The sequence below is a fragment of the Homo sapiens genome, chromosome X, assembly GCF_000001405.40.
Source record: "Homo sapiens chromosome X, GRCh38.p14 Primary Assembly".
Classification (NCBI taxonomy): domain Eukaryota; kingdom Metazoa; phylum Chordata; class Mammalia; order Primates; family Hominidae; genus Homo; species Homo sapiens.
In genome coordinates this window covers 72,093,909-72,115,496 of record NC_000023.11, presented here as the reverse complement: position 1 = coordinate 72,115,496, position 21,588 = coordinate 72,093,909, and the positions used below count along the sequence as shown (strand labels likewise).

General features: G+C 46.5%; 1 protein-coding gene across 12 annotated transcripts in view, besides 1 other annotated feature; it reads right to left on the bottom strand.

Annotated features, from left to right (window-relative positions):
* Positions 1–21,588, bottom strand: part of NHSL2 (NHS like 2) — a 242,442-nt gene that overhangs the window by 37,790 nt on the left and 183,064 nt on the right. The window lies entirely within an intron of this gene.
* Positions 14,261–14,380: a silencer, noted in NCBI's record as "silent region_20901". NCBI's record gives its function as "represses an Ori minimal core promoter by ATAC-STARR-seq in GM12878 lymphoblastoid cells {active_cell/tissue: GM12878}" and the evidence as "EXISTENCE:reporter gene assay evidence [ECO:0000049][PMID:35858748]".

Below are 21,588 nucleotides of genomic sequence, written 5' to 3'. Positions count from 1 at the left end.
GATTAACTCAGGATTAACTCAGTCAGTCTCCCTGCAGCCTCTCACGCCCCCCGCACCCCCCCCCCGCCCCCACCAAACTTCGGGAGGTTCAGGATTGTTCTTGGTGGGAGGCAGCTCTACCTTCCTCCAAAGACAGCAGCTTTTCAGGACAGTAAGGGGCCCTTTAGGTTGCATCAACTGAGTCAAATTTGACTTTGTAATCTGCAGGATTGGGACCAGCTCATCTGAAAATTGATTGCCGGACATGGAGAACAAACTGGTTCAGTGTTAACGAGGAGGAACGGATTTGTCCATCTGACCACAACCCAAATTGCTTGAAAATTTGGGCAGCTGTGTTAACAGGGAAAGAAGTTGGGACATGGAGTTGGACAGACCTGGCTTTGAGACTCTGCCTCATCACGACCTCGCTGTGTGTTCCCTCTGAACTTAGCTTTCTATATTAACAAAATGAGGCCAATAATAATTCCACCCTGTCTGCATTCCAGGGCAATTAAAGAATCATAAATTGGCCTATCGCTGCTTCAAAGGTCACTGCCTGAGGAGACAAATCAGGAATGGAGATCACAGCTCGGAGTGGAAGATGAAGCCAGGCTTCTGAGTTCAAAGATGAGTTCTTCCTCTTCCCAAATTCCCCTCATATCTGCCTATTGGCTTGCCTTTATGGAGGTCACCTCTGCCAAACAGTCCTCTTATAGTGGACACTGTGATGTGCCGCCAAGGTTCCACCTCAGGGATAAACAACTTATTCTCTTAAATGTTGGCTGAGCTGCCAGAAGGCATTTTGTTGTTAGCCCTCTTTGGGGATTACTTTGTCCAATGTCACATCTTGCCAGGGTGGCTCCCTCACCTCAACTCAGGGCAGCTCTGTGGGGCTTTCTCACCTCCAGAGCTTCCCCTTTGGATTGACTGTGACCTTTGTTGCAGTTTACGTTACTCCCTCTGCATAATCCTGCTTCCTCACCCACTTTCCACAGTTGTTGATCCCAAGGGCCCCCTAACAAACTTCCTGCACACTAATCTCTGCCTCAGGGTCGGCTTCCTGGGGCCTCCAAACTCCTCTGGCAGGAAGGGCCCTTTGCAGTGTGAGAGGCGCATTGACATATGCTCTCTCGTGGGCTCGGGCATGGCTCAGAGGCCTGCTCCAGAGAGGAGGCCGCTGCTACCTTTCCCACTCCCTTTGTTTCCTAATGGCTTCTAGGCAATTCTCTCTTTTAAAAATTGTCATGCTTTTCTGTTATGCTTTTCTTTTTTGTTCTTATTACAAAAGCGAAACATGCTTAACATAGTTAAAAATCAGAACGTACAAACAAACAGAAAGAGGGAAAGAACATTCATAATCCTACACACCAGAGGCAACCACGGCTGATACCTTGGGTATATCTTTCCAGAAATTTTCCTATGCCAAACAAAGATGGAATCATACTGTAAACATTGTTTTGTGGTTTACTTCAACTCTCTCTCGTTACCACAATAACTATTTTCTGCCAGCCATGTTCAGCCTCCCTATGAGAATGGGAAAATGAAGACTCAGAAGCCTGTGGGCAGTCAGAGGCCCTAGTCCAGCCCCTCATACAGAAGAGATGTGGAAACTGAGGGTCAGAAAGAGGAAGGACCTCTTCTCAGGCCCCACACTGAGCCAGACGGGGGCTCCTCCCCAGGCACCAAGAGACCATCCAGATCACCTTCTGACCTGGCTCTGAGCCTCTTTCCAAATGTCTGAATTGCCCAATCAGGTTCAAACCAGGAGAGGAGCAGAAAATGGGACTGGCATAAGAGAAATGTAGGAAAACGAAACCAGCCTGTTGATGTCTGTGCCTGGGTCCAGGCCACTTTGCAGGTGTATGGTAGGCGCACCTGACAGCAATAACTTAAGAAATGAGGTTTGTCACATAGCGGTTGCTGGGGGAGGGTGCTAAGTGAAGGTGCCATATAAACTGCATGCTTTTTGCAAGACGTTGTGGTTCTCCTGTCCAGCCTGCTCCCACTGGATCATCTCTGTAAGTAAGTTCCCTCTAATAAAACCCTATGTCTCGTTTGCTGGCTATGGGTCTCCTCTTTGGCCTCTTGAACCTGGTGCCATCCCTACTGAAGTCAATAGGGGTCTAGCACAACAGCAGGGTTCAGCATTTGGTCCACAGGGGAGTCGGCAAGCTGTGTACAGAGCACCCCTCACGGCAGGTGGCACCCCTCCTCTTGCCAGCTACTGAGCAACCCCACCTCCCATCTGTTTCCCACACAGCAACCAGAGGAATCATCCTCAAAAGTCACTCAGGGATGAGGCAATGGATTCTTAGATATGACACCAAAAGCACAGACAACAAAAGAAAAAATAAACTGAACTTACATCAAAGTTGAAAACTTTAGCACTTCAAAGGCCACCATCAAGAAAATGAAAAGGCAGCCCACAGAAATGGAGAAAATATTTGCCAATCATGTATCTGTTAAGGAACTTGTATCTAGAATATAATAAAGATCTCTTATAACTCAATAATAAAAAGACAAATAAAGTTTGGGCATGGTAGCTCATGCCTGTAATCCCAGAACTTTGGGAGGCTGAGGTGGGAGGATCGCTTGAGGTCAGGAGTTTGAGACCAGCCTGGCCAACAGAGTGAAATGCTGTCTCTATTAAAAATACAAAAATTAGCTGGATGTGGTGGTGCGCACCTGTAATCCCAGCTACTTTGGAGGCTGAGGCAGGAGAATCGCTTGAACCCAGGAGGTGGAAGTTGCAGTAAGCCAAGATCGCACCTCTGCACTCCAGCCTGGGTAACAGAACGAGACTGCATCTCAAAGAAAAAAAAAGGAATGAAGTTCTGATCCAGGCTACAACATGGATGAACCTTGTAAACATTACACTAAGTGAAAGAAGCCAGCAACAAAAGGCCACACATTATATGACTCCATTTCTATGATATGTCCAGATTAGGCAAATCCATCAAAACAGAAAGTTGATTAGTGGTCACTAGTGGCTGGGGAGAGGTAGGGGTTGGCAAAAGTGGAAAGTGACTGCTAATGAGAAAAAGGTCTCCTTTTTGGCATAATAAAAATGGTCTGGAATTAAATGGTGACAGTTGTGCATATCTGGGAATATTCTAAGAGTCACTGAATTGTATGCATTAAATAGGTGAATTGCATGGTATGTGAGTTATATCTCAAGAAAGCTATTAGTAAAGAAAGAAGTAAATCACATCCCGTTGCTCCCCAGCACATCTTCCCATTGCTTCTCATCACACAGGACTAAAATGCAAAGTCCTTACCATGATCTATAAGGCCTGAATGATCCGGCCTCTGCCTCTCCCTGCTTGCTGGCTCTTTTCTTATCACAGGGGCCTTTTTGCTGCTCCTCAAACATGCCAGGTCCATTCCTACTTCAAGACCTTTGAACTGGCTGTTCTCTCTGCCTGTAACACTCTTTTCCCTGATTTTCACATGGCTTGCTTCCTTCCTTCATTTGGGTCTCTGCTCAAATATCACCTCTTCAGATAGACCCCTGATCTTGCTATGGTGTCCTGATCCTAGTCACCCTAGCCACATCACTCTGCTTACTTTTCTTCATAGCACTTACCACTACTTGAAGCTTTTCTTGGTAAGTGGTTTCATTGATGACTGTCTGTTTGCCTTATCCTGGACTGTAAGCTCCCTGAGGTCAAGGATCTTGTCTGTCTTGGTCACCAGCATATACACAGTGCTTGGCGCATGGCAAGTGGTCATTAAATGCATGTTGAATGAATAAATGAGTGAATCTCACTTCAACCTACTGTCTTTGCAAGTATCCACTCCTGCTTCTGAGGAGGACTGAGTGTGAGTATGTCAAGGGGTTGTGTAGCCCCTCCCTGCTGCTAAAATGCTACTACAGAACTGCTACTGCTGCTGCTGCTATGGCTGCAATTCTTTAATTTACCTTATACTTACTTACTGTGGGACTTTGGACAAGTCTCTTCACTGAGCTAAGACTCAGTCTATATTTGCAAAACTGAGATAATAATAATGTCTCACTGGGTTGCTATGAGTGTGTCCAGTACTTCTTAGTGCAGTGCCTGGCTCACAGTAAAGACGCAATAAAGAGTAGCTATTATTATTATTTGAGCCTCCCACCTCTCTTTAATTCCAGGAATTTGGGACACTCTTTTTGCAGCAGAGTGGAGGACTACTTGCACACCCAGACAGTGGTGGACCTCTGGTCCGGACATCCTCCGCCCAGTTAGCTGTCTTTCCCACATAAACCTTTATGGCCTCAGCCTGCATCACTGCAGGCTCGGCCCCTGAGAGCAGCCCCCAGCCACCCTGCACAAGTCCACCCAGGTAGGGTGGCCGGCCAGATGCTCAACTGGCCTTCATCCTCCTCTTCCAGGCAGAGTCCGGGGCAGGGAGATGCACTCACAAACTGTTTTCCACTATTCTGAAAATTCTCAGTCCCAAAACATTGCACATAACCTCCATGGCCAAGTTACTTTCCTAATTCCGGTTGCCATAACAACGCGATTTAATGAAGGAGCAATTTTTTTTTCTTAAAATAATTCAACCCGTTTCCATATCAACAGGGGTTTATTTTGGTTCCACATGCAGCAAGGGCTTGGTAGCCAGCACCTGACAGCACCTTCTGCACTTTGGGAGGAACTCGAATTTCCAGGGGGCCATTTGAGATGTGGGAAAGGGACTGTGGTGGCCGTGTGTGCTGAGGAGGCCATGGCCTCAGTAAAGAGAGCAATAAACAGTGTGGGCACCTTAGAAGTTCCTCTTTGGGTTTTTTTTTTTTTTTTTTTTTTTTTTTTAGGTGGGAGGATGGAAGAAACAAGGAGGGGACAAGCCGTTCAGCGTCCTGTCCAAAGTCTAGGGCCTACAGAAACCAACTCCCTGTTGCTGGGCCTCCCTCTTGAGACCACAGGCTAGAAGGAGTGTCCCGGGGCTGGGGTTGGGTTTCTTTGTTGGAAAGCTTGCTGGAGGGGGTCACGGCAGGGGAAAGGGTTGCAAACATGCATAGTAAATGATTCTATCTGTGCCTAAGCTGGCTGTATGTGACTAGATTCCTTCATAAATTTACTCATTCAAGAAACACGACTGAGTACCTACTAGGTGGCTGGTACTGTGCAGGGGACCTTGAGGACACAACGAGATACAGTCCCTGTCCTTAGGGAGCTCCCAGTCTGGTGATGAGGAGGTCATTCTCAGAGGCTGTCTTCTAGGCCAGTGCTTCTCAAACTTTTTTTGCACATGAATCACCAAATCCCCTGGGGATGTTGTTAAAACGCGGGTTCTGTCGCAGTAGGTGGAGCGGGGGTGTGTGTGCTGAGATTCTGTATTTCTTAACACTCTCGTAGGTGATGCTGCTGCTGCTGCTGGTCTTCATACCTCACTTTGAGCAGCAAGGATCTAGGCAACTAAGAAGCTGGTGGAGAAAATATGGGACCAGAGAAAAGCACTTCACCCCTCTGTTCCCGGCATCCTTGGGGTGATGCCCCGTCCTGTGGGTTTTGGCTGCATCTCCTACTGGAATGGGGTGACTTTCTCATTGAGCAGAGAACTCTGCTTTGCTTTCTGAAGAACTTCTCTAACTCTGTGGAGTTTTTAATAAATAAGAATGAAAAGGTGGAACAACCAGGGTGTTTAACAACCCCAGCTGAGAGGCCACCAGAATTGCTTCAATTCCTTTCTGGGGAAGTTTAAGTTAGCCATATAAAGCAGCACACGGAAGGACAGAGCCCCAGCCTTTCTCAATGAAGACCCTGCCTGGGCCAGGTGAGGTGGCTCATGCCTGTAATCCCAGCACTTTGGGAGGCTGAGGCGGGCGGATCATGAGGTCAGGAGTTCGAGACCAGCCTGGCCAACATAGTGAAACCCCGTCTCTACTAAAAATACAAAAATTAGCCAGGCATGGTGGTGCCACCTGTAATCCCAGCTTCTTGGGAGGCTGAGGCAGGAGAATGGCTTGAACCTGGGAGGCGGAGGTTGCAGTGAGCCGAGATCGCGCCATTGCACTCAATCCCAGGCGACAGTATGAGACTCTGTCTCCCAAACAAACAAACAAACAACAACAAAACCTGCCTGAATGCACACTTTGGAGCAATGTGTTTAGGGGGGCCAGCATAAGTCAAGAGTCAAGTTCCAGTTCCAGCTCTGTTTCTTCCTAAGCCCTGTGACCTTGGGCAAGTCAAGTCACCTCCCAGTGCCTCATCTATAAAATGGGAATAACAATCACACTTAATTCACAGGGTTGTTTTGAAGATTAAACGAATTAATGTTTGTAAAGTGCCTGACACACAGCAGGTACCAAAATAGCTCATTCATTCAACAAATACTTAGCCCTTTCTGTGTACTGGGCCCATAAGCTTGGGGAATACAACAGTGAACAGGACAGACACAGTCCATGCCCTCACGGAGTTCACACTAAAGCAGAGGAGATCTGAATGATAAGAAGGAACCAGCCGCACAAAGAGAAAAAGAGCACACTTGGCAGGGGAAACAGCAAATGCAAAGGCCCTGGGGTGGAAAAGGATGACTGAAAGGAGCCAGTGTATGTGCGATGTATGAGGGGAGCATGGCAAGAAAAGATGTCACAGAGGTGGTCAGGGGCCATATTACTTCAGAGTCTTATGGGCTGCGGTCAGGAATTGGGGTTTGATGCTCGACATACCTGAAAGCTGTTGGAGGGTCTATGGTCTGGGGCGGGGAAGGGAACTGTGTGGTGTGACCTGACTGCTCTCCTTCACTGCCTACAGTGCCGGCAACCTGGGCTCAGCGTTTCCTTCTTCCCTGCCGGACCCGCATGTCCTCAAATTTCTGGAACTAGAAAGCCCATCCAAGGCCTCGGGATTTCACGTCTAGATGCTCACTGGAGAAATGTGTGGGATGCACACACTACTAGCCTGCTGCAGTTTGCTCAGGCTGCTCTGTGTGCAGAAGGTCTCTGTGCTCAGTGACCACTCTTCTGGTCCCGCCCCCAGGCAGCAGAGCGAAGGCTCTGGAGCAGACGATGTGGGTTCAAATCCTGGCTCTGTCGCTTATCAGCTGTGTGACCCTGGGAGATTCACGTTGCCTCTATGGGCCTCTGTTTCCTCATCTGTAAAATGACGTAAGAATAGTAACTACTTCCTAGGGAAGTTGTGATGACGCAGTGAGTGAATGTGAAGGCAACACTTCAGCCTGGCACCTAGGAAGTGCTGCACGAAGCCTGTGGACAGGCAGAAGTTTGGTGTCTTTGACTTTGAGGCTGGGGTGAGTTAATGTAAGGGCAAGTACTGCAAATGCTCCAGAACCCTTAACAAAGGGCAGCTACTGCCATGGCTAGGATAACACTGCACACCACTGTGCCACTGGGTCCCGGTTTTTACTTTCCACCTTGAGGAATCACCAAGACCTGTCAATCTGACCTCCTAACTCCCTCTCAAATCTGTTCCTTCTCCCACTCACTGGCACCTCTCCAAATCAAAGCCCTGTTACTTCTCACCTAAACAATTACAAGAACCTCCTACCTGCTGCTCTTCCTCCCTCAGATCTTGCTCTCTTACGATCCAGCCTCCACGGGGCCAAGAGAGTCATCTTCTAGACACACACAAGTCATATCAGCTCTTCCCTCTGCCTCAAAACCATCAGGATAAAATGCCAGTTCCTCAGGCTGGCTGACAGGGTCTTCCCATTCTGGCCCCTGCCTCTTCTCCGCTTCACATGCGCCACTTCCTTTAGGAGCACCATTCATCAGCTGAATTGTTCCTTTGCTCTAGAATGCCGTTCTCCCACCCCTGCCCTCTTTTCCACCTAGTAGAAGTCTACCCTTGCTCCTAGAGTCTCTATGACATTGTCCCAACTTCGCTTTTCCTCATGGGTTGTTCCTTCCTCCAACACCCCCCCGGGACTCTGTCTTCTGTCTGTTGGTGCACATGAGTCGTCCTCCCCACGAGATGGTGAGCCCTGAGGGCAGAGGAGACAGCAGAGCAGAGCAATGACATCATCTATCATTGTGTAACCTCAGCACCCAGCTTAGCCAAATCAAGGGCTCATGAGCACAAACACTGGCAGGGCCCAGGCAGGTAACACCAAAGAGAGAAGCAGGCTAAATGGGCCCTGCCGTGAACCGTGGAACTCCCTGCCTACCCACAAGGGGGCCAAACCCCTTAGTATTAGCTGATTCATCCATTGGGACCAGATCTTAAGATTTTTTAAGAAAGTGCATTGGGAACTAACTTACATTATTTATTTATTGTTTATTTATTTATTTATTTATTTAATTTTTTTGTATTTTTAGTAGAGACGGGGTTTCACCGTGTTAGCCAGGATGGTCTCCATCTCCTGACCTCGTGATCCACCCACCTCGGCCTCCCAAAGTGCTAGGATTACAGGCATGAGCCACCGCGCCCGGCCTTTTAAAAAATTTTATTTATTTATTTTTTATTATACTCTGAGTTCTAGGGTACATGTGTGCAATGTGCAGGTTTGTTACATAGGTACACATGTGCCATGTTGGTTTGCTGCACCCATCAACTCGTCATTTACATTAGGTATTTCTCCTAATGCTATCCCTCCCCCAGCCCCCACCCCCCGACAAGCCCCGGTGTGTGATGTTCCCCCTTCCTGTGTCCATGTGTTCTCGTTGTTCAACTCCCACCTATGTGTGAGAACATGCAGTGTTTGGTTTTCTGTCCTTGTGATAGTTTGCTGAGAATGATGATTTCCAGCCTCATCCATGTCCCTGCAAAGGACATGAACTCATTTGTTTTTATGGCTGCACAGTATTCCATAGTGTGTATGTGCCACATTTTCTTAATCCAGTCTATCATTGATGGATATTTGGGTTGGTTTCAAGTCTGCTATTGTGAATAGTGCCACAATAAACATATCTGTGTGTGTGTCTTTATAGTAGCATGATTTATAATCCTCTGGGTATATACCCAGTAATGGGATGGCTGGGTCAAATGGTATTTCTAGTTCTAGATCCCTGAGGAATCGCCACACTGTCTTCCACAATGGTTGAACTAATTTACACTCCCACCAACAGTGTAAATGCATTCCTATTTCTCCACATCCTCCCCAGCATCTGTTGTTTCCTGACTTTTTAATGATCGCCATTCTAACTGGCATGAGATGGTATTTGTTTATTTATTTTTAAGCTGCACTTCTGAGTGTGGAAAATTCGTTTTTTAAACCATGCAGAACAAAAAAACCTGAACTTCAGGCCACACTTGGTCTTTCAGCCTATCATCTTGCAAACTCAGAACCTTTGTGTGTGTATGTGTGTGTGTGTGTGTGTGTGTAATGAGGGAATGAATGAATGAATTCAAGTTTCTTTTTTTTTTTTAGACAGAGTCTTGCTGTCGCCCAGGCTGGAGTGCAGTGGCGCGATCTCGGCTCACTGCAGGCTCTGCCCCCCCGGGGTTCACGCCATTCTCCTGCCTCAGCCTCCTGAGTAGCTGGGACTACAGGCACCCGCCACCTCGCCCGGCTAATGTTTTGTATTTTTAGTAGAGACGGGGTTTCACTGTGCTAGCCAGGATGGTCTCGATCTCCTGACCTCATGATCTGCCCGCCTCAGCCTCCCAAAGTGCTGGGATTACAGGCGTGAGCCACCGCGCCCGGCCTCATGGATTCAAGTTTCCTAGAGCTACTGTAAATTTCAAAGGTTTGGGGGAAATTACACGTAGTCAGTTCAGTTGCTATTTGGTTTGATTTTTTGGCGTAAGGACATGAACGTCAAAATCGAAAGTCAAGTTTTTATATTTCTCTCTTTAAAAATGAAGCCCAACCTTCTTTCACCTGGTGGCTATAACAGTATTGCATTTCCTGGGTAGCTCACAGGCCTTGTGAGCAGACCTGTAACCTCAACTGTGGTGACATCCCTCTTTGAGATGCAGGTCACCCCAGAAGGAAGGGAGGGATGTGAAAGCCACAGAGACTGTTTCCATGGTGGCTGATTTGCTTAGTTTGGTAACCTCTTATAAACAAACTGTGCAGAAGATGACAACGGCACGGTTCCCTCCAACTTCCGCCTACCTCATCCCACTTATCTTAGCCCCAAGTGAGAGAGGTTGGGGGAAAGACTGAGGACTCTGAATTACAGGCATCAAGGACTCAAATTCCTTTTAGGTCCTGACTCCCTGTCCCTGGGACTCCTATACCTGGCTTTGGGCTGCAGGGAGGGACTTGCCCAGAGGCCTGCAGGGTGGGAGGGAGCCAGTTGCATTTCCTGAGTGACTAGAACACCAGACCTTGAGCTGCTTGATCCCCCATTCAGGACCAAGGCACTCAGTCCCCCAGCTACCAGAGGTGTTGGTCCATGGCTCACGGTTGAGTCTCTTCTCCAAGGTAACAACCCCTTTCCTGGGGGGCAGCCTGCATCCAAGATCTCGTTAATAGATGGGGTGGGGTGGGAGGTGGGGGAAGAAAGGCCCAGCTGCCTGGCCTCAACTGGGGCCATCTGAAGAGCATCTCAGCTCCAGAGCTTCCCATGTTATCAACTGAGGTCTCCAGTGTGCCCACACTGCAGGTGAACTCCTGTCTCTGACCGATCCTGCTCCCTCACAGGTGCTGTTCTAGAAGGCAGTTCCCAACAAACCTTTTGCAGGCAAATCAATATCTCCAAATCTGTTTCTTGGAGATGCCAGCCTATGACAATTCCCTGCCTTGGCCTCTTTTCTCTCCCTGCCTTTTCTTCCTTGTTGAGCACAATCACTCCAAACGCCCCAAGATCATCTCAGAGGATGATCCTCAACTCTTTCCTGTTGCCACAGCCACTCTCCCAGTCTGCCCACTTGCATTTCTCAGAGCCTGGTGGACATCTTCACCTGGATACCCACTTTTTTAGTCTCAAATTTAATATACTTAAAATAGAACCTCTCCTGCTATCCTAATCCACTCTTCCTCCTGACTTCTGTATTTCTGTTAATGAATCCCAGGCTGGAGACCTCAGCGTCACCTTGGGCAACCTCCTGCTCAGAAACCTTTAGCATCCCCTCAATGTGAGCAGAACACATGCCCATGCTCCTTATCTTCATACTCAAGGCCTTCCTTGTTGACTCAAATGAGGCCGATTTCCTGACAACCCTCTAATCCAGGATTTCTTAACAGTTTAATGGCTTGGACTCCATCAGGAGCCTAATGAAACTTATGGGCCTCTACTTGGAATGTTTCTACAAGCACAAAATAAAATACATAGGATTACAAAGGAAGTCAATTGCATTTAAAGTTATCTATATATGTCTTAAAATTTGCAACATAGTAATATGCATTTCGTTATTAACACATTAAGTAACATGAGCTAGTGGCGGGTCCAGTGACTGCCATGATTTTGAAGTAGTCGTGAATGGGACAGTAATTTAAGGCACCTGCAGCAGCAGTAATGAGATATAAAAACATCTGTGGCTCCTGTTCGAGACAAAGTCACAGGCTAATGCCACTGTGATGTGTGGCCTGTGTTCATAATGGAAGGAAAGCTAACTTTCAATTACAGGTTAATGAAGACAAAGTTATAATTTTTTTCTCATTTAAGTAAATGAACTCCTGGTCAAGCACTTCTGTGCTATGGGGAGTCCACATTGTAGCTCAAATTGGATATTCACACTTCCCTGAATGAATGTCACGCATCCCACATCCATCCTGGCTGATGCTGGAAACTGGTACTCGGGCACTGGGTCAAGTCGGCCTCACTCTCCACATGGACCTTCTGCCACAGGCTGGCCAGGGCTTGGGGCTAAGAGCTGTGCAGAGCACTGCCTGCCCATGGGCAGCCCTGGGAGGGTATCTTCTCTGGCTTTTCTCCTCTCAAGTCCCAGGCCCTGTCTGAGTGAATTTACATGTTTCTGATGGCCCAACCAAGATTACCCAGTCAGTTGGCTCATGGGGTAGTGCACAGCCATCAAGCTAGTTGTAGAGCATCTAGTTGAAGATGCCTTCACCAAGGTGCCATTTGGAGCTGTGAAGAGGCCACTACTCTGCTTGGATCCTTCTCCTGAACCTTGGACCTGGGACTCATCCAGCTCTACTCTTACCTTGCTACCAGATTCTAAATGTTCTGCAATGCATGGGACTGTCCTGTACAATGAAGAATTGTCTTACCCACAAGGGCCATGATGCCCTCGGTGAGAAACACTGCTTAGGAAGTTTATAACTGTTTGTTTAGTGCTTCAGTAGTCCTTGGCCTGGGGTGCCAGCAACGGAGGCAGAGCAAATCTGTGGGCACTTCTCTGGACTCTTCCCAGTCCCCTCTGGCCTGAAATCCCAGTGACCTTTACATCTAGGATTGGGATTGAGGGAGCGATGCATAATATGGTGAGAACCTTCCCCCACTCCCTCCACTGTGGCCACTGCAGCTATCAGTTCCAAATCCAAGCTTTCCCAGGCGTGGGACTTTGCTAGGTCAAGAGGAGCTACCTGGGCTTGATAGCTGCCACTAGGGAGGGAAAAGTTGGCAAGAAGCTGTTTTTAGTTTCCTCCAGATGTCTGCTGGCCTAGGACCCTTTGGCTCTGTCCCCCGGGAAGGAATGTTTGTCCTAGGCAGCCTCTGCTTTGCTACTGGAGCTAGGGAGTGGGTACTCCCATCTGGGGCAAGAGAATGTGCCAACTCCTACTGTGCTTTTGCGGGTTAATCATTTCCAGGTAGGAGCTGTCACGAGTCACCCTGGTGTTCACCTCCATTGCTTTCCATGAACCAGTCTAGTTTCCTAAAAATACCTGCTCCCTATTTCCCAGGCCAAAATGCTCCAGGAAATGCCTGCAGCCCACGATTGTCAGATAAGTGGCTTCTTCTGTTAGTTTGACCTGTATTCTGATGAAAGGGATTACTAATACTGCAAGAAACAATATTCTGTGACTTACAAATTATATCTGTTAAGAATAATGAATACTTATATAGGGCTATTTATTATACTTTATAGTTTATAAAGGCTACTTTATATATTAGGTTGAACCATACAAATTTGCTGGCATTTAAATGCTTTGGACAGTTTCATAGGATTCAACCTAACACATTTTCTCATTTATTCCTCACCATAATGCTGGGTAGGTATTTTTAGCCCCATTTTACAGAGTAGAGTACTAAATCTTAAGAGTGGTGAAATGACTTTTGACTAAGATTATATATACAGGAAATAGCAGGGTTGAGACTTGAACTAAGTCTGTCTGATGCCAACTCTCATGCTCTTGGTTCTCGAGGTAGGATGATTCAGCCTGGAAGACCACTGCAAGGCTTCGAGACTCCTAGACTACCCTCAGGAATCCCCTGGCTGGTTTCTCTTGTCACCTTTTCTTAGTGGGAGAGATCAGCAGGTGCATAGATGCCTGCAAATAGAAGGTTCTAAAGTGATGAGGTGACAAGTTCTAGTTTTAAGGCTTTGGGAGCCCTGAGGAGGTACAACAAAGACAATATCCAAAGCATGTTAATTCACCCATGCATTTATCCGTCCAAGAGAATGCTACTGGGTAGCTCCCATGCACGTGACAGGCTCTGCACTAGGTGCTAAGTTAGTGCAGAGCCTAGGCTGCCAACATTCAGGGAAGAGGCTTAATCAGCAGGGCTTCTACGCTTTGGCCAGCCTCAGGAGGGGGCTGAAGCAGTAGAGGCTGGGGTGAGATCACCATGTGCATGGGACTTAGATTTCCTGTGACACTGCTCTGTCTTCCTAGCCCAGGCATGATTTGGGAGGCCACAGCTTGTGTGACCAAGCAGAAAGAAGCTGGGCTGTTGCCTGGTGCTTCAGGAGTCTGATACCACTGAGAGTTTCTAGGCTGCAGGGCTGGAGGAGGCAGCAGTAGGAAGGGAAAAGGAATGCTGGTGTTCCACTCCTCGGCCTGGTAATGGGGAAGCTGGCAGGTGGGGCCGATGAAAAAGAGCTCCCTCCCAGGCAGCCACAGGAGGAAATTCCTTTCTCCTGTGCCTAGCTGCTCTGAACCCTCGGCTCCACCATGGGGTTGGGTCTTGTAGCTGGCCAGCTTGGGGAGAAAAGGCTGGGGGAGGGCTCGTTTAGAACTTAGGCAGTGGGCATGCGACCGCCACCTTTGTTTGGGGACAGCATGTTGTCCCGTGGGAGATAATCACATTTCTCAGCTTCCTGTCAATCCAGGGGCCGAGCACCCAAGCCTGCTGTGGAGTCCAAATGCTTCCCAAACCTGGCCTGACTCAGGCCAGGGCAAAACTGGCTGCTCCACCTGTCCCCAGTGCTCTCCAGCCACCTGCCTCCTCCCATTCTGCCGACACCCACCCAGACACCAAACCCCGAGCTCAAACCCTGATGCGAGTCTTCTTGCAGGATGCAATTGAGCCCATGCTTACCATTCCAGGCTCTAAGCTGTGCCGCCATGGCTGTCACCACTGCCGCCCAGGAGCACAGTGGCTCTGGGGCCACAGAGTTAAGATCTCACAGTTGAGTAAGCCACAATGTGGGTTCTTCACACCACACCCTCCCCAACCACAGTGGTAGGGATTTCCTCAGAGCCCCGTTGCCACACACTCTGCTTTTGAAAAAAAAAAAAAAAAGGAAACAGGCATTGGGTTTTGAGTGTGATGAGACGCTGTGAACAGAGATGCCTCTGAAAGCAAAGAAAGGGGAACCTGTGACAGACCTCAGATAATCACCTCGTGAGCACTCAGGCTCTTTCTATATCTCTGTGGCCATGCTACGGCTTGTGGAAAGGCCAGGGCCATTTGTACAGCAATATGCCACATAATGGCATGTAAGTTAACACAGCAGTCCCCAACCTTTTTGGCACTAGGGACTGGTTTTGTGGAAGACAATTTCTCCACGGACTTGGGTGGGGGCATGGATTCAGGATGAAACTGTTCCACCTCAGATCATCAGGCATTAGTTAGATTCTTATAAGGAGCAAGTAATTGAGATCCCTCACATGCACAGCTCACAGTAGGGTTCCTGCTCCTATGAGAATCTAATGCCGCTGCTGATCTGACAGGAGGTGGAGCTCAGGCGGTAATGCTCGCCCGCCTGCCACTCACCTCCTGCTGTGTGACCCAGTTCTTAACAGGTCATGGACTGGTACGGGTCCATGGCCCAGGGGTTGAGGACCCCTGCTTAATGGACTGCATATATGACAACTGCATATATGACAGTGGCCCCATTAGATGATACCATAGTTTTGCTCTATCTTTTCTAGGTTTAGTTATGTTTAGATACACAGATAAGTACCATCGTGTTACAACTGCCTGTAGTATTCAGCACAGTCACGTGCTGTATGGGTTTGTAGCCTTGGAGCCATAGGCTGTACCATATAGCCTAGGTGTGCAGCAGGCTACACTATCTAGGTCTGTGTAAGTACACTCTATGATGTTTGCACAATGAGGAAATCACCTAATGACGCATTTCTCTCGTAGCGTATCCCCATTGTGAAGCGAGGCCTGACTGTACTTGGCTCGGCTGTTCTGGTCTGCACTCAACCAGCATACGTTGAATTTATTGGAGTCCACAAACCAAGACCCTGAGAAGCTTCATGAGTTGCCTTGAGTGGTGAAGTTGAGGATTTTGTCCTCAATGTCTGACCTTCTAATCCATTCCTACCAACCACAGAGACACACAGCTCAGGTGACATTTTGAATCTCTCTGCCTGCTCAACTTCCACTGTTCAATACGGTAGCCAGAAGCCACATGTGGCTCTTAAGCTCTTGAAATTGGCAGTCTGAACTGAAATGTGCTGGATGTGTAAAACATACACCAGATTTCAAAGACTGAATATGAAACAAAGAATGTAAAGTATCCCATTAATAATTTTTAATATTTGATTACATTGTAAGACACTATTTTTGATATATTGGAGTAAATTAAATATATTATTAAAATTAATTTCACCTTTTTCTTTTTACTTTTTAAATGTGGCTACTAGAAATGGGGATACTGGTGGCCGGCGTGGCGGCTCACGCCTGCAATCCCAGCACTTTGGGAGGCTGAGGTGGGTGGATCATGCGGTCAGGAGTTTGAGACCAGCCTGACCAATATGGTGAAATCCCATCTCTACTAAAAATACAAATAAAAAATTAGCCAGGTGTGGTGGTGGGGGCCTGTAATCCCAGCTACTCAGGAGGCTGAGGCAGGAGAATTGCTTGAACCCGGGAGGCAGAGGTTGCAGTGAGCCGAGAATGCACCACTGCACTCCAGCCTGGGTGACAGAGTGAGACTCCGTCTCAAAAAAAAAAAAAAAAAAAAAATTCCTACACAAGGGGATACTGGTGCCAAAATTGGCAAATAGATGAATGAAATAAAATAGTTCAAAACAAACTTATGTATATATGAGCATTTAGGATATAATAAAGGTGGCATTTCAAATCAGCTGGGGAGGGGAATGTAGCTACTAAGACAAAATTCAAAATTCCATAAGTGGCTGGCATTTGTGGCCCACATTATATTTCTATTGGATAGTGTGGTGCTAGACTTTCTATTTTACCTAAATGTCCATTAACAAGGGATGGGTTCCACACATCATGGTGCATCTACACAAGGGGATGATATGCAGCCATTAAGAAGAATGAAGGATATCTCTTTGAGTAGAAACTAGAAAACTGCAGAGTTATTGGTAAGTTGAAAAAAATGGGCAAGGAATGGGCCAGTATGTATTGTATGATCTCATTTGTGTATCAAAAGCACACAGATGCTTATATATGCACGGAATAAGTTTGCAAGGACACACAAGTAACTGTTATTCTAGATGATTTTGACATGTATGTTTCACTTGAAACTCTCCAGTACTATTTGAAATTTTAACAACAAACGTGTCATTTTACAATAACAAACCATTAAATATATTTATTTTCATATATTTAAAAATAACATATAATGGTTTACGTAACATAAAACTATTAAAATAAAAAATAAATAAAATAAAATTTTAAAAATCAGAGTTTCTATTATTCAATTCATAGCTTTATTTCTATTCCTCCACTTGTAAACACCCCTTTCAACTTCTTCTCTCTTTCTTTTTTTTTTTTTTTTGAGACGGAGTCTTGCTCTGTCACCCAGGCTGGGGTGCAGTGGCGCAATCTTCGCTCACTGCAAGCTCCGTCTCCCGGGTTCACGCCATTCTCCTGCCTCAGCCAGCTGAGTAGCTGGGACTACAGGCGCCCGCCACCACGCCCGGCTAATTTTTTTGTATTTTTAGTAGAGACGGGGTTTCACCGTGTTAGCCAGGATGGTCTCGGTCTCCTGACCTCGTGATCCACCCGTCTCGGCTTCCCAAAGTGCTGGGATTACAGGCGTGAGCCACCGCGCCCGGCCAACTTCCTCTTTCTTATTCCTCCCTTTCTGTCCTATTCTTTCCAAACCTTCTCTTTCCTCTCTCCTTCAAAACCCACAAGGGTCTATGAATGAGGAGCCATTCCACTTCTGTTGGCTCCCCTTGCTCAACTGCTGCCTCTGTCTTCCCGCCAAGGAAGAGCCTGAGGAAGGGCACCATGTTGGTTGGGTACTGCTCGATTCCAGACACAATAATCAAAGATGGCCGCTGTGGAGAAAGAGACCTACCTAGTGGAAATACATCCTACCATTTCTTCCTAGCAATTTTGCCACATTCATGTTAAGAGAGGGCTACACAGAAGAGAGGACAATAACTCAGTAAATTGTGTCTGTGTGTTTTTTTCTTTCCTGGTTCAAGGGTGGGTGGAGGCAGGGTAAATGCAGGAGGCACTGGAGAGAAGGTTTGGTCCATGTTTGGGAAACCAATTTAATTGCCACCTGCAGTTAAAAATCACTAAGAGGGTTTAAGTGTTTTGAAAAGAGAACTATAGCGGTTGGAGAAAGGAAAAAAGCTCTCCAGCTTCTGGAAAACAGGTATAACAAGAGATGTGTTTGCTCCAGGGCAGATGGGAACCTCAGTCCTTAGAGTTTAATTGAGAGAGGAAGAAAGACAAGAGGTCTCAGCAGACTGTCAAGCAGATAATAGCTTCCGAAGGGTGGGTCTGCAAGAACTGAGAAATGAAAGACCTGTTGATGTGTGTAGGGGACAAGTGGTGTGGGAAAATACCAAATTTTCTTTTACACTCCTTCTCAATGCAAATGGAATAAATTCTTTAGAATAAAGAAGGGTTTTGAATGTCTGTTGGAACTTTTTTGTTTATCACAGAGAGACCTTCCCCTCCCCCTTCTCCCCCAAAAAGTTAAGAACCTGGCAGTGCAATCAGTAGCAGGAACACTGGACGGGGAGTCAGGAGACAGCCATGGTCCTGAATTTGCAGAATATGACAACAAATGATATATGTGAAATTCCCCTGGAAGCTGTAAAGCATAGTTAACTGCGGTTAAGTGTGGTTAACTGTTATGAAACTTAAGTTTGTCTGTGGCCCTTCCCATTTCTTCCCCTTTTGGGCCCTCTTCTCTTCCAACCTGTTGGTACAAAAACTACTGGGCCCAAGGTTTGAAAGGAATCCAATTCAAAGAACATATGTTGGTCCCAGAAGAGATCACCTAGACTGAAGAACGTTTTCAGCATCCTAAGTTAATGGTAACTCAGCTATTTTTAAAGTAATATCCCATTCAAAAATTGGAGGGCTAGGAAGAGATTTGTTAAATTATACAAAATTACAGCTGGGGAGGAGGAAAAAGTTCTAGTGTTCTATGCCATTGCAGGATGACTATAGTTAAAAATCACGTATCATTTCTAGGCATGGTGGCATGTGCTTGTAGTCCCAGCTACTCGGGAGGCTGAGGCAGGACGATCGCGTGAGCCCAGGAGTTTGAGTCCAGCCTGGGCAACACAGTGAGACCCAGTCTCTAAAAGAAGAAAGAATTAAAAAACCCAAATGATAATATATAGTTTCAAATAGCTAGAAGGAGGATACTGAATGTTCCCAACACAAAGAAATGATAAATGTTTGAGATAATGGGTATGCTAATTACCCTGATCTGATCACTATACATTATCTGTATACCCCATGTATATGTACAAATAATTACATTTGTCAATTTTAAAACAACTTAAAAATTGGAAGCAAACAATTTACCTTTAAGAGGAATTCTGCGTTCAACATAAAGCTAGAATGCCATATATTATCCTATACAATTTTTAAGTACTAAATGCTTTTTTCAGATTAAGTCTAGCAAGCTGATTTCTGGACTGAAGGACTGACATCATACTGCTCTACAGAGGCGAGATAAGGAGAAATGGACCCTCCATACATTGTACCTCACCAGCCTTGGGATTGGCTTTATGGGCTCCAGTGGCCCAAGTCCTGGGGACACAGTTAGCTAAAATATCTCCTTGCCTCTTCCTCACTCCCAAAAGTTAGTCCGTCACCAAGTTCCGTTGATTCTACTTACCAAATCTGTCCAGAATCTGGCCATTTCTTACCATCAGCACTGCCACCACCCTAGACCAAGCCACTATTGCAGGCAGAAGTCTCCTAAGTGGCCTCCCAGCCCCCTCTCCTGCCCTCTGGCTCTACGAAGCAGCCACAGTCAGCTTTTTAAAAGAGCAGCCCTACTGCATCTCCCTTCTGCTTGGACCTCGGATGAGGAGATCTTTGGCTAATATGTCTACCCCTGTGACCTGAAAGCTCAGGGTGCCAGCAGGAACCCTGTCTGTTTTGATGACCACTGTAATCTCAGGCCTGGCCTCATGCCTGGCATGTAGTAGACACTTATTTGTTGAATGAAGGAATGGATTTTAGCAGTGCACATTTGTACAGTGCTTTAAAGGTAACAAAAACTTCATTTGATGCTCAGAATAACCCTGTCATAACCCTGTGTTATTGCTCTCATTTTGCAGATGAGGAAATTGAGGCTCAGAGCATTGCCTATGTTGGCAGAGTTAATGCAGAGCATATTGAAATCCAGGTCTATGGGGGTCAAAAGCCCATGCCTTTCTGGCTAAACCCCTCAGAGAGCTACGGGAGTGTGGAGGGCATGGAGTTGAGAGGCACTTTGATATTTCTTGGCTGTATAAGGGGCTACTTTACTCAGGCCTTCAGGGCCCTAGAGGCAAGTCCTGTGGGGATTCCCTGCCAACCAGCCCGGGAGGACAATGGATTCTAAATCAGGCTTTCCTGGATGACTACTCTAACTACAGTGACCTTATTTTCTGAATCTCAAATCAGAATTCTTGGTCTGACAAACAGAATAAAATACTTGAAACTGGGACTTTTCTGGAAAATCCAGGGCACAGAGTTGCTGTACCTATACCACATGGCAGCTACATAATGGGCACTTCTTGGCAAATTCTGACCCAGACACCTTGGTCTATCACATCTCAAGAAGATTTCTTTTACATAACAAAAGCTGTTTTCTGGGCCTCACCCCAAATTCTTTCCATCTACATTTCTTGTTTGCTCGTTTAATTACTTCCCTTACTTGCTCTTATCTTTCCTGTTTACAGCTTTCTTCTCAGTCTGCCCGAAAGAGCTTCTAGGTCCTGCTTGCTGATGGATGCTATAAGCGATTGAGAGAAATCATAAGCAAAAGTGCTTGGGAACCATGGCAACAGGGGCCATGGCAACAGGGGCCAAGCACTGAGAGACAGCCCTTCCTGGTTTCTGTTTTAGACCAAGTGGTGCTGATAAGGCCTGATGGTCCCATTGTGTCTGCTAATCAGGCAACACTGTTAGCAGGAGGCATTATGGCAAAATTCTGGTTTCAGAAAGAGCTTTGCAATGCTCTTGCTTTACTGCACCCTGCGTTGCAATGGTGGGCTCATGGTAAAGGGCATTGCCAAATCCAGGGTTGAATCTAAAATTTGCCCCAATTACTCCTCACATGTGGTTCAAGTATACTTAGAGCTCCATGATGGACAGGCAGGCAGGTCCCAGTGTTAGGGTGACAACTGCAAAAATTTGGTTATCATTCTCTTGGGCCTGGAAGTCGAGAATCATAAGGTTACTCAAGCAATAGATCCTAAGGATTTATACTGATGTCTGGGAGAGAAGGGGCTCTTAGTGAATTGGGGTGCAAAGTCTCTTCCCATGGAGGTTATCCATCTCTCTGATGTACCAGGTGCCCTTGAACAAAAGGGTGGGCTCTGGAGGGGCTGTGAACCTGCCCTGCCTTTTTCTTGTCTTGTTTTTTTTTTTAGATGACGAACTCTTTCAAGCATATGAAAAAATATCAGGAACAAATTCATTTCCCTTTATTTGCCCCAGAACATTTTTCCTAAAGAAATAAAATACTACAGCTTGAGTCAAAGCCCCCTGCATGTTTTGAAATGTGCTATGTATGTGCTCATAAACAATAAACTATACAGTATGGGTTGTATGTTCTTAAACTGTATAAATTGCATCAAATTGTCCATACCATTCTTTGCCATCATGAACATTCACAGCATATATGCCATCATTCACCTGTCTCAGAGTTTCTCTAGGGTATAGACCTAGGAGTGCAATAACCGAGGTAAAGGGTGGAAGTGTAACTTCTTAAGCCTTTTTGAGGGTAATATTCTGGTACTTATTTAAAGTAACTATTTATACACTGTTGGATGCTGTAACTGCACTTTCATAAAGCTATACTAGGGCTGGGCACGGTGGCTCACACCGGTAATCCCAGCATTTTGGGAGGCCAAGGCAGGTGGATCACCTGAGGTCAGGAGTTTCAGACCAGCCTGGCCAACATGGTGAAACCCCGTCTCTACTAAAAATACAAAAATTAGCCAAGCGTGGTGGAGCACACCTGTAATCCCAGCTAC